Source organism: Homo sapiens, chromosome 9 (genome assembly GCF_000001405.40).
Source record: "Homo sapiens chromosome 9, GRCh38.p14 Primary Assembly".
Lineage (NCBI taxonomy): Eukaryota > Metazoa > Chordata > Mammalia > Primates > Hominidae > Homo > Homo sapiens.
In genome coordinates, this window is record NC_000009.12 from 137,750,683 (window position 1) to 137,765,458 (window position 14,776).

General features: G+C 50.1%; 1 protein-coding gene across 33 annotated transcripts in view, besides 7 other annotated features; it reads left to right on the plus strand.

Annotated features, from left to right (window-relative positions):
* EHMT1 (euchromatic histone lysine methyltransferase 1) overlaps nt 1-14,776 on the plus strand; it is a 217,123-nt gene that overhangs the window by 131,678 nt on the left and 70,669 nt on the right. For 22 of the 33 annotated variants that reach the window (XM_047423872.1, XM_047423878.1, NM_024757.5 and 19 more), the window contains 4 exons: nt 1,649-1,726; nt 3,489-3,609; nt 7,198-7,329; nt 11,993-12,138. In XM_047423872.1, coding sequence (XP_047279828.1) covers nt 1,649-1,726; nt 3,489-3,609; nt 7,198-7,329; nt 11,993-12,138 — 477 coding nt within the window. Of the gene's footprint in view, nt 1-1,648; nt 1,727-3,488; nt 3,610-7,197; nt 7,330-8,659; nt 8,812-11,992; nt 14,095-14,776 lie in introns of those variants that run through there. The other 11 variants (XM_047423875.1, XM_047423881.1, XM_047423882.1 and 8 more) reach the window with 3 other exon arrangements.
* Nucleotides 7,111-7,612: an enhancer, noted in NCBI's record as "H3K4me1 hESC enhancer chr9:140652245-140652746 (GRCh37/hg19 assembly coordinates)". NCBI's record gives its function as "activates a minimal SCP1, AML or CMV promoter by ChIP-STARR-seq in naive H9 embryonic stem cells {active_cell/tissue: H9 hESC(naive)}" and the evidence as "EXISTENCE:reporter gene assay evidence [ECO:0000049][PMID:30033119]".
* Nucleotides 7,285-7,504: an enhancer, noted in NCBI's record as "active region_29365". NCBI's record gives its function as "activates an Ori minimal core promoter by ATAC-STARR-seq in GM12878 lymphoblastoid cells {active_cell/tissue: GM12878}" and the evidence as "EXISTENCE:reporter gene assay evidence [ECO:0000049][PMID:35858748]".
* Nucleotides 8,381-8,550: an enhancer, noted in NCBI's record as "active region_29366". NCBI's record gives its function as "activates an Ori minimal core promoter by ATAC-STARR-seq in GM12878 lymphoblastoid cells {active_cell/tissue: GM12878}" and the evidence as "EXISTENCE:reporter gene assay evidence [ECO:0000049][PMID:35858748]".
* Nucleotides 10,541-10,690: an enhancer, noted in NCBI's record as "active region_29367". NCBI's record gives its function as "activates an Ori minimal core promoter by ATAC-STARR-seq in GM12878 lymphoblastoid cells {active_cell/tissue: GM12878}" and the evidence as "EXISTENCE:reporter gene assay evidence [ECO:0000049][PMID:35858748]".
* Nucleotides 11,858-11,907: an enhancer, noted in NCBI's record as "active region_29368". NCBI's record gives its function as "activates an Ori minimal core promoter by ATAC-STARR-seq in GM12878 lymphoblastoid cells {active_cell/tissue: GM12878}" and the evidence as "EXISTENCE:reporter gene assay evidence [ECO:0000049][PMID:35858748]".
* Nucleotides 12,028-12,127: an enhancer, noted in NCBI's record as "active region_29369". NCBI's record gives its function as "activates an Ori minimal core promoter by ATAC-STARR-seq in GM12878 lymphoblastoid cells {active_cell/tissue: GM12878}" and the evidence as "EXISTENCE:reporter gene assay evidence [ECO:0000049][PMID:35858748]".
* Nucleotides 12,494-13,693: an enhancer, noted in NCBI's record as "CDK7 strongly-dependent group 2 enhancer chr9:140657628-140658827 (GRCh37/hg19 assembly coordinates)". NCBI's record gives its function as "activates an origin of replication core promoter dependent on BRD2, BRD4, P300/CBP, MED14 and CDK7 cofactors, with strong dependence on CDK7, by STARR-seq in HCT116 cells {active_cell/tissue: HCT116}" and the evidence as "EXISTENCE:reporter gene assay evidence [ECO:0000049][PMID:35650434]".

The window sequence follows — 14,776 nt, forward strand, 5'->3', positions numbered from 1 at the left end:
GTGGAGGTGGAGACCCTCTGGAGTAGTGGTGGGGACTGTGCACAGTGGGGGACACCGGAGCTCAGGACGTGGCTGCCGGAGGGGGCGCGGCTGCCGGAGGGGACGCTTACTCAGGAGCGCTGAGGCGGTTAATGAGTGGGACAGGGAGCCTGTGACATGTATAAAGGTCGATTGTAAGACTGGGGTATTAAATCAGTGGTCAAGGGGTCATGAACTTTTTAATAACTATGGTTGGGCCAGTTGACTAATATTTTGGGAAAAGGCAGCCTGCACTTGTGTCAGGGCACGTAACAAATGTGAGCTCCATTCTAGAGTCTGACAGTGGTGCTTGCTGCACAACTCAGAATATATGAAAAACCACTGAACCGTACACTTTGCAGGGTCGGTTTTAGAGTAGGTGAAACATATCTTACTGTGGCTATTATTTTAAAAAACGAATTCCAGAAGATTTAAAGTGTCAATATAAAATATTGAACTATGGGTAAAAATATTGGGAACTGTTTTTTCCAATCTCAAATGAGGACGTTCTTCTAGTGTAAGACACAAACCTGGAAGCCATGAAGGAAAAGATGGACACCTTTGACTTGTTCAGATAAAATTCAAAAGTTTTATGTGATAAGAGATATCAGAAATGGAGCTTTAAAAACTTGACAGGAAAAACAGGGGTCTCGCTGTGTTGCCCAGGCTGGTCTTGAACTTCTGGCCTCAAGCAGTCCACTCGCCTAGGCCTCCCAGAGCATTGGGATTACAAGCGTGAGCCATCGAGCCCGCAGAGTACACCCTTGATGTGAAGTCGCATGGGTGCCTGTCCACCGGGAAATGCAGAGAATAGTGGAATAGCGCAGCAAAGGCAGCCCCATGCCGCCTTAGGGAGTGCCGGGCACAGGGTGGACGGAGACTCACGTATGTTTCAGTGTCTTTTGCACTGAACGTCTATTTGCGTATTGCCTGTGCTTATAGAAAAGATAAATACAGCAGAAAAAATAAGATGTGTCTGTTCTGGTGTGGAAAGAATTCCAGAACATATTTTTAATTAGAAGAAAATAATATTCACAGAACTGTTGAGTGTCCTGCCATCTGTGCAGACTAGAAATGCACTGTCGTCTGTGGGCCCACGTCTGCCTGGATGTTCACTGGAAGGAGGCGTGGGCAACTTAGCTGTGGTGGCTCCGAGGATTGGACTGGGATCATGGGTGTGTGGGGGTAGGTCTCACACTGTGTATTGTTTTGTGGCCTCTGAAAATCTTTTTATGATTGTTCTGTGTGTTTTGTGATGTGTTTATTGAATTATCCCATTCATAAGATACAGTGAGTACCTGAACCCTCACTGATACAGCACCCAGCGGGTGAGCTCTTGCCTCAGTCCGCACCAGGGCAGCCACTCTCTGGTCCCGATGTGGAGACAGGACCGGGGAGCAGAGTGGAAGCTCAGAGTGTGTCTCTGGCCCTGCCTGGACCAGCACTCGGTCACCCCACACACCAGCCAGGGCTGGAGCAGGCCGGCGGCGCCCCCGCCCCGCGAGCGTCTCCGGCGTGTGCGGCCAGTGCCCGTTTCGAGGTTTGCTTTGGATCCGTCATCTGCCACTAAAGGATGTAATTGGTTTCTGTTTTCTGTTTGGGTTCCCGCTTCGACTGTGTGGCTGATCAGATGGACGGGGAGTCCGAGGAGGAGCAGGAGTCCGTGGACACCGGGGAGGAGGAGGAAGGCGGTGACGAGTCTGACCTGGTAATGCCCAGCGCCTCCTCCTGCGTCTGTGCTGATGTAGAGGAGATGCAAAGACACCAGCGTCCTTCAGTTCTTTACCCAACAACCCTTGTTGCCTGAGCGCTCACCCATGTGCTTGGAGCTGGTCATGGTGATGGCCACAGATGGGTCCTGTCCCTGGCAAAGCCTCATGAGAAAGACACCGTGCAGAGTTGCAGCGCAGGGCTGGGCCTGGCACGGGGCTGCCCCAGCTGCGTGCTGGGTGGGGTGGAGTTGAGTGGCCTGTGGAGGTTCTCAGAGGGAGAGGGTGTGGTGGGAGCCGGCAGCAAGGACACCTGTTTGGGATTCCGCTGCATCGGCTGATGTGCGAGAAGGAAGGGCTGGATTTGAAGGTTTCCAGGTAGAACGGCAGAGGGAGAGGGTGTGGCGGGAGCCGGCAGCAAGGACAGCTGTTTGGGATTCCGCTGCATCGGCTGACGTGCGAGAAGGAAGGGCTGGATTTGAGGGTTTCCAGGTAGAATGGACAGAACTTTCTGGTGGTGAGGACTGGAGGGAAGAGGGGTTCTGCTCCGTCCCTACTGAAGCCTGTTATTCCTTGAGGAGGGTCCAGATCGGAATTGTGCACCCTGGTCTGCGGGAATTGGGTGTTGGAAATGGGTAAGAGCAGCGAGTCCCCAGGATGGAGCCTCAGGAAGCCCCCAGCCTGTGAGGGTTCCACAGGGGAGGAGAAGTTGGCTCCTGCTTCTGAGGAGGAGCTGTCTGTGCCGTGGGGGGAAAGCTCGGCAAGTTTGGGTCACATGAATTGGGAAATGCTCTGAAACAGGAGAAGTGGCTCACGGTGTGGGCTCATTACACCAGCGAGTGGGAGGAGGACACAGGGGCCGAGCAGCGAGTGGGAGGAGGACACGGGGGCCGTGGTGTTCGGCGATGAAGGGGTCTGTCTTTGGGTGGCAGAGGGGCAGCTAGATTTCCAGCAGCAGCAGCTTTGGGTGTGGCGCTTGCTGAAATTCTTCCCAAAAGTTTTGCCGTGCGGGGAGCACAGGGGAGCCGGGGCTGTGTGTGCTGCAGACAGGGCTCCCGGTACCGTCCTCACGTGGGACCCAACTCAGGAAGAAGGCTGCCCAGCAAAGGCCTTGTGCAGGGACATGTTCAGTTGGTCAGCGAGGCCCACGTGCTGCTGCTGTGCCTACCTTAAATGTCCCCCGCCCACTGTGGCCTGCACGTGGCCTCCTGTGGAGGGGTGGGGGCGCCTGCTGTGCATCCGTGTGTGACATGTGGCATGGATGCCCTTGCTGCATCCGGATTTTAGAAGCAGATGCTTAAAACATATCTTGAAATATTATAAGTTAATTACAGCCTCTGTCCTTGTTCTCTGTGTAGATCATTCATGTGGGTAGGTTCTGAAGCAAGCCGAGCGTTGATTGTCCCTTTTCTTGTGAGCGAGATGAACGGACCCTTTTCCTGAGCTTACTTATTTAGTTCCTGAGTAGAACTTTCCAATTTATTTATTCTTTTATGCCAAACTCAAATAAGATGGATACATTTCACTTTCTGCTTTTGTTTTGTTTTATCTCTAAAGGGACTGAGCTGAGAGAGTTAGGGAAAAGCGCAGGGTGCCTTTAAGCGTGTGACCCAGCAAAATGTCTACAAGTTAAGTTCACCGTTTAATTGAAGATCAAGACATAGCCAGTGTTCTGTTTTGCAAGAAAACACTTGTAGTGCTCTTGCCTTCCGTAGCTTCCTGTGCTTAGTGGTTTATATGCCTGCCCGTTTGGTTCTCCAGAGTTCGGAATCCAGCATTAAGAAGAAATTTCTCAAGAGGAAAGGAAAGACCGACAGTCCCTGGATCAAGCCAGCCAGGAAAAGGAGGCGGAGAAGTAGAAAGAAGCCCAGCGGTGCCCTCGGTAAATGCCGTGGGGGTGTGGGCCATCACGGGGACTGCCTGGGAGGGGATGGTGCCAGGAGGCCCACCTGGGGTTGGGGTGCGTAGGATTTCATTAGAAAAGAGGGCATCACTGTTTAAAAAAAATGTTTGAAATGACTTTGTTAGAGAAACTCAAGTGATTCTAAAGTAGTTTCCTTCTGGCCAATGTAGTGGACGTTGACTTCACTGTTGTTGTTTTTAATTTAATTTTTTTTTTTTGAGACAGGATCTGGTTCTGTTACCCAGGCTGGAGCGCAGTGGCACGATCTCAGCTCACTGCAGCTTCCACCTTCTGGGCTCAGGCGATCATCCTACCTCATCTCCCCAAGAAGCTGGGACTATAGGCGTGTGCCATCATGCCCAGCTTATTTTTTTGTGTTTTTTTGGTAGAGATGGGGTTTTGCTATGTTGGCCAGGCTGGTCTCGAACTCCTGAGCTCAAGCGATCTGCCCGTTTTGGCCTCCCAAAGTGCTGGGATTACAGGTGTGAGCCACTGCGCCCGGCCCCAACTTCATTGTTGAATGTTGAACCGAGGTGAATCATTTGCTGCCCGCATGGGTGACTGGAACCTGTGGCCTGCATGGGCAGCTCCCACGTTGTGTGCAGGAAGCGGCCCCTCAGTGAGGCACCTGTGCCTCGGTCAGAGTCCCCTGTTCCAGAGGAACTTTGTGAATCACAACGTGAATGTAGGAAGGAAATCTCCTCAAACCCAGAAGGGATGCAGCAGGTTTAGGGTGCCAAGGGCCGTTTTTGTTTCCAGCTTAACCGAGGTGCACCTGGCATCCAATAAAATGCACAGAAATAAATTACACAATTTGACAAGTTTTAACATGCTTATGACCTTGAATCCATCACCACAGTCAGATGATCAGTGCCATGAGCTCCTCTGTCACCCCGGGTCCCTCCTGCCCTTTGATAACCTGGCCCCTTCCCTGCCTCCCTTCCCTGCTCCCAGGCAGCCCCTGGTCTGCTCTGTTTCCATGTATTGGTTAGTGTTCTGTAGAATTTTATATAGATGGAACTGTGTGGTTGTTTTTCATCTGGCTTCTCTGAGTATAATTGTTTTGAGTTGCCAGGCTGTCGAATGGCCAGGAGTTTGTTTCTGTCCATTGCTGAGAAGTGTCCCATTGTGTGGCTGCCCCACAGTCTTATCTGTCCATTCATCCGTCCATGGGCTTTGGGCTCTTTCCAGCCTTGGCTGCTAGAAATTAAGTGGCCGTGAACATTTGTGTGCAAATCTTTTTTGAACAGGTGCTTCCCTAGATCTTGGTTAGGTATCTGGGAGTGGAATGGCTGAGTAGAGTGGCGTGTGTTCAGCTCTTCAGGAAGCTGCCAAGCTGTTTTCCAAGCACTCGTCCTGTTTTAGGTCCAGACAACACACAAGCATTCCAGTTCCCCTCTGTCCACGCCAGCACTTGTTAGGGTTAGTCTTTTTAATTCCAGTGGATCTGTGGGTGTGCAGTGGTGTTTTACTGTAGTTTCAATGCTGTTACCTAATGAGTAATGAGATTGTACATTTTAGCCTTCATTTAGTTTTTTTGAAACGTGTCTGTTCACATCTTTTGCTCACTTTTAAAATCTGGTTGTTTTTCTTCTCATTGGGTTAAAAGAGTTTTTAACATATTCTGGAGACAAGTCTTTTATCAGGTGGATGTTTTGCATGTATTTGTACCTAGTCTCTGACCTGCCTTTTCATTTTCCTAATGCTGTATTTAGAAGAGCAAACGTTTTTAAGGTTTTCTTGAAGTCCAAGTTACGAGTTATTTTACTTGGGGGGTTCATGCTTTTGTGCTCTAAGAAATCTTTGACAGACCCAGGTCACAGAGGTTTTGTCCCTTGTTTTCTTCTTGGCATCTGCAGGCTCCGCGCTTGCCTGTCGGTTCATTTTGCACTGATGTTTGAGTGAGCTGTGGCGCAGGCCCCTTCTTGGCAGTGGGTGTGCAGCTGCCATAGGCACTGCTGCTTGAGTTGATTTTTCTCCACCTGTTGACATTCAGTGTGTGGGCTGTTCCTGGACATTCTGGTCTGTTTCATTTATTTATTTGTTTATCCTTATACCAGTGTCACCGAGTGGCAGCACTTTGTTCTTATTCACAGTGATTTTGGCTAATCTAGATTCCCCAATGTAGAGTACCTCTGTTAACTGGATGTTGGGGAGGCGTCATCCCCTGAAAAGAGAGGGTTGCGGGAGACCTGGGGCGTGAGGCAGTCACCATGGAGGCTCCTGGCGTTTGAGGGTGGAGGACGTGTGAGCCCCCCGGGAGCTGCATGTGGTGCTTCAGTTACGTTTCTCTTCACCTCAGTTTATTGATTCAGATCATAACACCAGATGTGGCTTTTACTGTTGGCCAACAAAAGCATTTTAGAGCCAAGACTAAAAGTTGTTTTTGGGGTAGAGATTTCATCTTTGTCATCTTGGCTGTAATGTGCAAAATGTGTGCTTTTAAATATTCACAGAGGAGTTTGAATTTTATTTCTTTATGAATTTTTTATTTAAATCTTCTTTTCGTTTAAAACTATACAAAGTGTACTCCTGTTCTTCAAGTTGATGATGGTGATTTCTCAAAGGTGGTTGACTTTTCCTGTCTGTCTAAGATCTAGGTGGAGCATGTGGCTTGAATGAAAAGACTGGTTACCATACCTCTCTGTGCTAGTGTTCATTTATTTCCAGTCATTGAAATAAGATTGGTGACTAGTCCCTAGAAGCTTGGCTGTGAAATGTGACCATCTGCCCTTGGCCGGAGTTAGATATTACCTGGTACAGGTACACACTTTCATAGGCCTCCTCAGTGAATGCCCTTGTGATTACAAACACCCAATTTTATATATCTTTCTCCGGCCCTCCTGGGAAGTGTGGACAGGCTGGCCTGGCCACCACTCGTGTGTCCTTGAGGGCAGGGAAGCCCACAGAAGTGTTTGCACCCCCCACTGCCCTCGCTGCCAGCCAGGGGACACCGGTCCTTCTCACAGCACCCTGCTCCCTGGCACCTTCTGTGGGTGTCGTGAGCCTCCCGTGTTTACTGGAGTCGACACTGATCCTTTCCGGGAGCCTCCCTGGATTTCAGCCAGGACGCCCGGGAGGTCATTGCTTTCTCTCTGACACAGATTTGCCTGCAACATGGCACCTTGGGCCATCTCTTTAGCTACTTTACATCTGATCTTTCAAATCTGCAAGTTAGATTTTTCTGTTTTATTTAAAAATAATCTACAACATATGACTACCATGTTTTTATCTGTTTCTTTGATCATTTGATAGCTTTTATGTAGTTGGTGTAGTTACAGAGAAAGATGTGCTGACATGTTGGTGCCTTTGTTTTTGTCTATACAGCTTCTCTCCTCCCCCATGAATATTATGTCTAAAAGGGGGAATTAGCAAAATAATATGCGGGAGAGAAAATGATAGTGAAACTGGAATGGTCTAAACCATAGTGGGTTTCAACTTGTGGTTTTGAATGGATTAATTAGAAGTAGTCCATTTCCTGGGGCCCCAGCCTTGCTGCCCTGTGCGTCTGGGTGGGTGCGGCCGCCTGGGTGCGTGGTGTCTGATGTGTGTGCCTTTCATACCTAGGTTCTGAGTCGTATAAGTCATCTGCAGGAAGCGCTGAGCAGACGGCACCAGGAGACAGCACAGGGTACATGGAAGTTTCTCTGGACTCCCTGGATCTCCGAGTCAAAGGAATTCTGTCTTCACAAGCAGAAGGTGAATGTGGTGGTGTAACTTAGACCGGGCACCATCTTGGTCCTTTGTCTTCTGGGCTCCTTCCTCTGTATTAGCATGATGCCCCTTGGTGGACACTAGTAGAAGATCGGGTTAACTGCATCACTTCCAGCTGAGGTGTAGACAGGATGGGGTGCGTTTGCTGTGTCCCGGTGTTCAAGTGAAGAAAGAGACATTACGGAAACCCTCTAAGAGTCAACTGGCGAAGCCCAAGCATGGCCCAGCGTGGCGGTCATCTCCCTCCGTGGGTCAGGCGTGCTCCGTGGAGGATTGCCCACGGCCAGACGCCCTCCCTGGTGGCATCTCAGGACACACGGGGACGTACTGTTGAATAAGGTGTCTCTGATTGGCTGAAATATGTCCCTGGTCAGTGTTGAGCTGAGAGTTCTGACATACGTTCTGTAATGGAATATTCGTATTTAGTGTATTTTTGTACCTCTAAATCACAGGTGAATCAGCAGCTTCTGTTGGGAGTTGTTGTGCCAGAAGTTGTCCGTTCTCACACTTTCTATCAGTTTTTTCTCTTTTTAAGCAACTTAGAAACCTTATATGAGTGAAAAGTAGCTAATACCTATTTGATTATTTGGGAAGATTTATTCGAAGCATGATGTGGAGGAAATGCAAATCTTATTTACATTCCCCACAGATCTTACTGGTGTGGCATTGCAGACCACTGCAGGGGGCTTAATGGGCCATTTAAAAATGACAAATAGCTAGCTTTTTAGGGTTTTGAACACTGAGGGAGGTTTGAGTCACCTATGTAATTCACCTAGGAAATCACATCTTTAGCTTAAGATAGAAATCTTAGGCTAGTCCGGCTGGGCGCGGTGGCTCACACCTGTAATCCCAGCACTTTGGGAGGCCGAGGTGGGCAGATCACGAGGTCAGGAGATCGAGACCATCCTGGCTGACATGATGAAACCCCGTCTCTACTAAAAATACAAAAAATTAGCCGGGCGTAGTGGCGGGCGCCTATAGTCCCAGCTACTCGGGAGGCTGAGGCAGGAGAATGGTGTGAACCCAGGAAGCAGAGCTTGCAATGAGCCGAGATGGCACCACTGCACTCCAGCCTGGGCGACAGCGAGACTCCGTCTCAATTAAAAAAAAAACAAAAAACAACAACAGCAGCAACAACAACAAAAGAAATCTTAGCCTAGTCCGTCATGGAAACGATGATATTTTTTCCTCTTCTTGCACCAAATGGAGCAGAACCCCCTCAAGCATCACGAAGTCCTTCGCATGGTCACCCCATGCTTTCCGAGTATAACACTGGGTGTTTCAGTTCTCTAAACTTGCTTTTAGATTTGGAGGTCTCAGGAAGTTACTTGGTTTTAAGGAGTAAATAGTATTTCATTTTGTCAAATCGACTCCTGCTGTGGTGGCCTTGGGCATGCTGAGTGGCAGGAGACCGGGAGCTGGCACATGAAGGCCGTTCCACCTGTCAGTGTGCGCCTGCTGTCTCTGGTGAGGTCGGGGGAAGGTAGCTCTAAAGGAAGGATGGTGCCGAGCATCAGGGCCAAAGGGCGAGAGCCAACACAAAGCCGGAGGAGAAATGGCAGGGAGTAGAGGCTCCTCAGCTTGTGTGACATTTTGTAAACTGCCTCCCAGAATTGATTTCCCTGTGTTTGATCAGCGCCGATTGGTCAGTCAGCGATTGGCCTGTTCAGTCATGCTCTTGATGTAGATCATCAGTGTGTAGAAGAGACAGGCGGTGCGCCCACTGTGCTGGTGCTGGCCGTGTGGCCCGGGACCCCAGAGGGAGGCAGTGGTCAAGTGGCGCTGGATGGCGTCTGGGGCTCTGGGAGACCTGGGTGGTGTGTGTTTCAGATGGGACAGGCGCCATCGGCCTGTGGAGTGTGCTGAGCGGGTCAGTGGGGGCAGGTGATGCCGCTGGTTGTGGGTCAGGGGGTCCAGGCTTGAGCCTTGGGCCAAGGAGAATATGAAGATGAGAAGTCCTCTCCGTATGCATTCGTCTCTTTCCCCGTTGCCTTGCTCTTGGGCCTGCCTTATTGAGGCTGAATGGCGATGTCACCCAGCAGCAACAGGAGGCAGAGGGTCTGAGCCTGGGAGGGGCCAGGAGTCGGTAACCATGGCAACGTGGGCTAGGGCGGGAGAGGCAGAGCTTGGCGGAGGTTGATTGCTTGAGGCTTGCTTCAGTCAGTTCGTTTGATGTCCCTGGTAGTTCCACTGTGGGAACAGAAACACTCCACCTCCACGGAGGTGTCTGAGCCACTGCATTGTTATCCAAGCGTGTAGGCCCTGGGTTCTTACCTATCTCACTGCAGCCTCTTGGCTGCTGTTGGCCAGTGCTGTGGTAGGACAGTTATCTCACAGCGTTGTGGGGTTTGTGTGTGTTTTCTCCTTTTAAAAATCAGGTTGCTGAGCAGGATCATCTCAGAGACCCCCCCAGCTTTAAACTTGTAGTGATTTGAATTCAAGTTTCACTTCATCGTTTTCCTGGTCTTTAGGGGTTTGGGTGATCCAGAGGCGAGGCTGGGACCTCGGGCAGCACATGATTAGGAAGTGCCTCCTGCACAGAGTCCTTGACGGCAGCGTGGACCGTTCACGTGCTTTTTGGCTCTTTGCACAGATTTGGATTCTCTCCTGGCCGTGACCAATATCAGATTCCAAATGGGCTAGAGACAGACAGAAGCGGCTGTGGTGACTCAGCATGGGTGTTGGTAAAAGATGCACTAAGAGGCTGGCAGGGCGGCTCAGGCCTGTAATCCCAGCACTTTGGGAGGCCGAGGTGGGCAGATCACAAGGTCAGGAGATCGAGACCATCCTGGCTAACACAGTGAAACCCCGTCTCTACTGAAATACAAAAAATTAGCCAGGCGTGGTGGCGGGCGCCTGTAGTCCCAGCTACTTGGGAGGCTGAGGCGGGAGAATGGCTTGAACCTGGGGGCAGAGCTTGCAGTGAGCTGAGATCGCACCACTGCACTCCAGCCTGGGCGACAGAGCGAGACTCTGGCTCAGAAAAAATAAAAAGATGCACTAAGGCACAGTGCAGCTTTTAAAGGGTTTCCTTGAGCAGCGATTCATGAACGAGGCAGCTCCAAACCAGAAGCACGTTGGGAGCTGCACTGAGGAAACACGAGGGGAAGGATTTTTAGGGTGAACGTGGGAGTAAAGCCAGGAAAACACCCCACTGGTTCATGACGCAGTTTCCTCGTTTGTTCTGTCCCTGCTGGAAAGTCCCTAGTTCTAGAGATTGGTTGGCTGCTTCTGAATGGTAGAGCTTAAGTTTTATTTTTCTTTACTATAGGCATTTGCCAAAAGTAGCCCAAGATATCCTTTGTTTTCAAATCAAGCAAGGTCAAGATGGCCTCCTTGGCTCAACTGGCTTTGTCTGTTCAAGGATTCTTTAGTCTTGGTCTCCATTTTAATTTACTTTAACACTATATTTTTAGATGTGAAAACAAGAGTTAATGTTTTTTTTTGAGACGGAGTCTCACTCTGTTGCCAGACTGGAGTGCAGTGGCACAATCTCAGCTCACTACAACCTCCGACTCCCTGGTTCAAGTGATTCTCCTGCCTCAGCCTCCTGAGTAGCTGGGATTACAGGCATGTGCCCCATGCCCAGCTAATTTTTGTATTTTTTTTTTTAGTAGAGACGGGGTTTCACCATGTTGTCCAGGAGGGTCTCGATCTCCTGACCTCGTGATCTGCCCGCCTTGGCCTCCCAAAGTGCTGGGATTACAGGCGTGAGCCACCGCGCCCAGCCAAGAGTTAATTATTTTTAATTAAGAGAGGTAATAGTGAGTATTTGAGACAATGATTCATCTTCTATTTCTGCTTTGACTGTTTAACAAAAAAGAAAACGTGAAATGCGATCTGGCTTCCTTTGGGAGCGGCACCCACTGTAGCCACTTGCCAAGCTTAAGGGTCTTCCTGGCGGTGCCCTCCACCCCCGCCCCTGCTGCTCAACAGCCTTGGCCTTGCCCGTCTCTCCCATCCGGGGCTGGGGCAGGGCATGGGGGCACCAGCCCTGGCTGTGCTGGGACGGGCCCAAGGCCGCCTGCCTGACCATGGCCCTGCTGCAGCCTTCCCTATGGACTATGCTGTCATTGTCAGCTGCATATTGAGCTCTAATTCTCCTCTAGTTTATCTTTCCTTGTTTTTCTGGTGCTTTCCTCTTTCAGCCTAATAAATGGGCTCTTTGGACTATTGTAGTAGGTGAGTGAGATTCTAGATAATAGATGAACCGTTATTAAAACCTTCCAAACTGATTTTTTTTTTTTTGTGGCTGCCATTCTAAAACCAAGTAGGAAAACAAGGTCTTAAAGGGCAGTGAATGCTCTTTTGTTTGAAAGCAAAAGATTTAGGAGCTACTGCCAGAGGTACCAGCCTCTGGCTTTGGAACTTGTGTCCTGGGTCCTGAGAACCTGAGAACACAGGTTAATAGGTGCCTCTTGAGACCCTGTCAGGGGGTTTGTTAGCTGGGGAGGCACAGGCCACCCCTTCATGTTGCCCAGGTGGTGGCCATCCCCGCCCCACGCAGGGCTGTTTGTGCTGGGTAATCAACCGCATTGCTTTCATTTCCTGGCGTGTGAGATCACTGTTGAGACTATAATCGATCACTTTCTAGATGTTCTTTTGAGGTCAGGATTGCATGAGCTGACATGTGTCTGTGTGACGTTAGGGTTGGCCAACGGTCCAGATGTGCTGGAGACAGACGGCCTCCAGGAAGTGCCTCTCTGCAGCTGCCGGATGGAAACACCGAAGAGTCGAGAGATCACCACACTGGCCAACAACCAGTGCATGGCTACAGAGAGCGTGGACCATGAAGTAAGCACGTTTGTTTTCATTTAAAGCAGCCACGAGGAGTGAGTGAGAAAGCCCAGCCCAGCAGGGGCCCCGACAGCCCCTCGAGTGAGTTGTGCTGCGTGACCAGGGCGGGAGCCTGAGTGGATTCTGCGCAGAACCAATCGAGCAGATCCCAACAGTGAAATCACGGCAGATGATGAAACACAGGTCTAGAGCTTGTTAAAAAGGAGGACTGTGTAGACAAAGTCTTTGAATGAAAATGGCCTGTTGTATTTCTTTTTTATGATCATGGTTTTGTCAAGGTTTTTCCTACCTTGCTATAAACAAAGTGAGTAGATTGAGGCAGGATAGTCACACCAAGGTGAGTCCAGAACTGCCCAGAACTGTGGTTTCCTGCAGGGCAGGCCCCGCAAGGGCCGGGCCTCGGCCACCTCCCTCCTTTCACCGGGGATCACAGACTCAGAGGGTTCAGCACGTCCCGTCTCTGCTGCCTCTGGGACAGGAGGGGGGATCAGGCAGAGCACAGACGGAATTAATGTTTTCTGAGAATTTCTCCAGTTCTTTTTAACACGATTTCTTTCAGCCCTCAGAGCCTCGTGACCATGGCTGGCCATGGTGAGGGTCTGAGCAGGAGGCTTGTTGGCACCAGGCCGAGAGGCACCACATGCAGTCACACTGCTCAGGTGTCTGGCTGCCCCGGGCTTGCATTTGCTGTGGCCGAAGTCAGCACGTGGCCATTAGTGTCGTCTGCTTCCTGAGGGGTGTGTCAGGCTGTTGCTTCCACGAGTTTCCTGGTCTTATTGGCCAGCGGATCCATCTTCAGCTCGATTATTGCGTCTTAGCTGCACATTGTGGAAGTAAGTGAGCTGTGAACAGGACAACCATCCGTGTAGCAATGCTGGGCATTATTCCAAGCCTTTTGCGTAGGGCGCTCCTCCAGGTCCACGGCAGCCTGTGCAGCATCGGCCGTCGCCCAGGTGATACAGGTGAGGCCCGTGAGAGGGGCCAGGTGGCGCCTCCAGACTCACTGGCCTGCTGTGAGGAAGGCAGGAATGGGAGCCTTGTTCCAAAGGTCAGGCCCGACCGCTGTGTCGGGGAGCATGGGCAACACCCGGGAGGAGCGGGCAGAGCCCTGGAACAGGCCAGTCAGTTTCGCCCATGGCCCTCACCCTGGTGCCTGTTGGCGTGGCCGGGGTTTCTGATTCAGCAGGTCTGGCCTGGCTGGGATTTTGCTTTTCTAAAGTGTTCCCCGTTTCTCCTGATGCTTCTGGTCCAGGGACCACACTTTGAGAACCACTGGTTCGCCTCCTCTTCTCCTTCTCCGTAGGTGTTAAACAGGATCCAGTGGAGTCAGATCCCCGTGTGACACGTGCTTCCCTGTGACTTTTCTCTCTGTATCTCCACGTTTCCGGTGCACATGCCTTTACTCAGACTCCGACACTGGCGTTGCTTTTGTCTCATCCCAGCTAGGCGACGTCTGCGTCAGCGCCTCTCATCTGTGGCACGTGTGCCCAGCGGGCTCCCTATGTGACGGCTTTTCCCACCTCTGAGTGTTCATGTCACTCGCTGCATGTTCTGCCACACTCGGCCCCTCTGCAGAGCCTCTCACTTGTTTCAAAAGAACTTTCCATAGTGACAAGTGAGGGCGCAGTTAGCCTTTGGAACCCTCGACTCGGCTCCTCTGTCACCAGCGTTCTCTCCCACCCTTCTTTCTTGGTTTTGAACTACTTACTGTTTTAAAACAAACCCCATTTTACTACTGAATAGCACAGTGTGTTTCTATTAAGATCAAAAATGGACCATTGTCTCACATAACAGCAATGCTTTTCACATGTAACAAAAATAACAATTTCCTGTTATTATTTAGTGCCTAGTCCATGGTCAAAGGTCTGTTGACAAAATGCCTTTTACTTTTTTTCTCTCTTTCTAATTGGATCCAAACTGGTTCCACTCATTAAATCAATCTGCTGCAATGTCTCTTAAGTCTTTTGTGTTTCTTTCACCCAGAACATTCTCTCTGTCCCCTGCTTCTTCCCATTTGCCACGCTGTTGGCTAAAAGAATCTGGATTCCAGATTCTGGACTTAGCTCATAACTTTCTTGTGTTGTTTAAGTCATTTGCCTTAGTTCCTATAGCCTGAAAGTTAGATTCAAAGACTTGGTTTACATTCAAGTACCTAAGATTTTTATTTTATGATTTAATTCTGGCGAGAATGCTGTGGAGGTTCGTGCGCTGGGAGCGGTGCTGAGAAGGCTCTGGGTTTCTGCGGCGGCCGCCTGTCCGCCCGAAGGCGGTATTGTCCTTGGTGACCACTGCCTGCATCCATTGTTTCATTCAAAGTTTCAAAATGGTGATTTTGCCATTCTGTCATTCCTCCTGCAAGTACAGGCTGGAATTCTTTGGTACAGAAGAACTTCCCCACATCTGCTAGGGCTGTTTCGTACCTCTGAAACAAGCTTCAGCCGGGATTGGCAGAATAAATAGCTACTTGTCTTTGCAGAGTAATGAATGGGTGCTCTAACAACCTCTAGTGGTATCCGGAGGGCTTGATTTTGCTTCTCTCTGTCCCCTCTCCACCTCCCTTTCTCCCTTAGCATTCTTAAGAACTCATGGTCTTCTCTGTATTCAATGTGTGGTAAGCTTTTTTTGTTTAAAATTA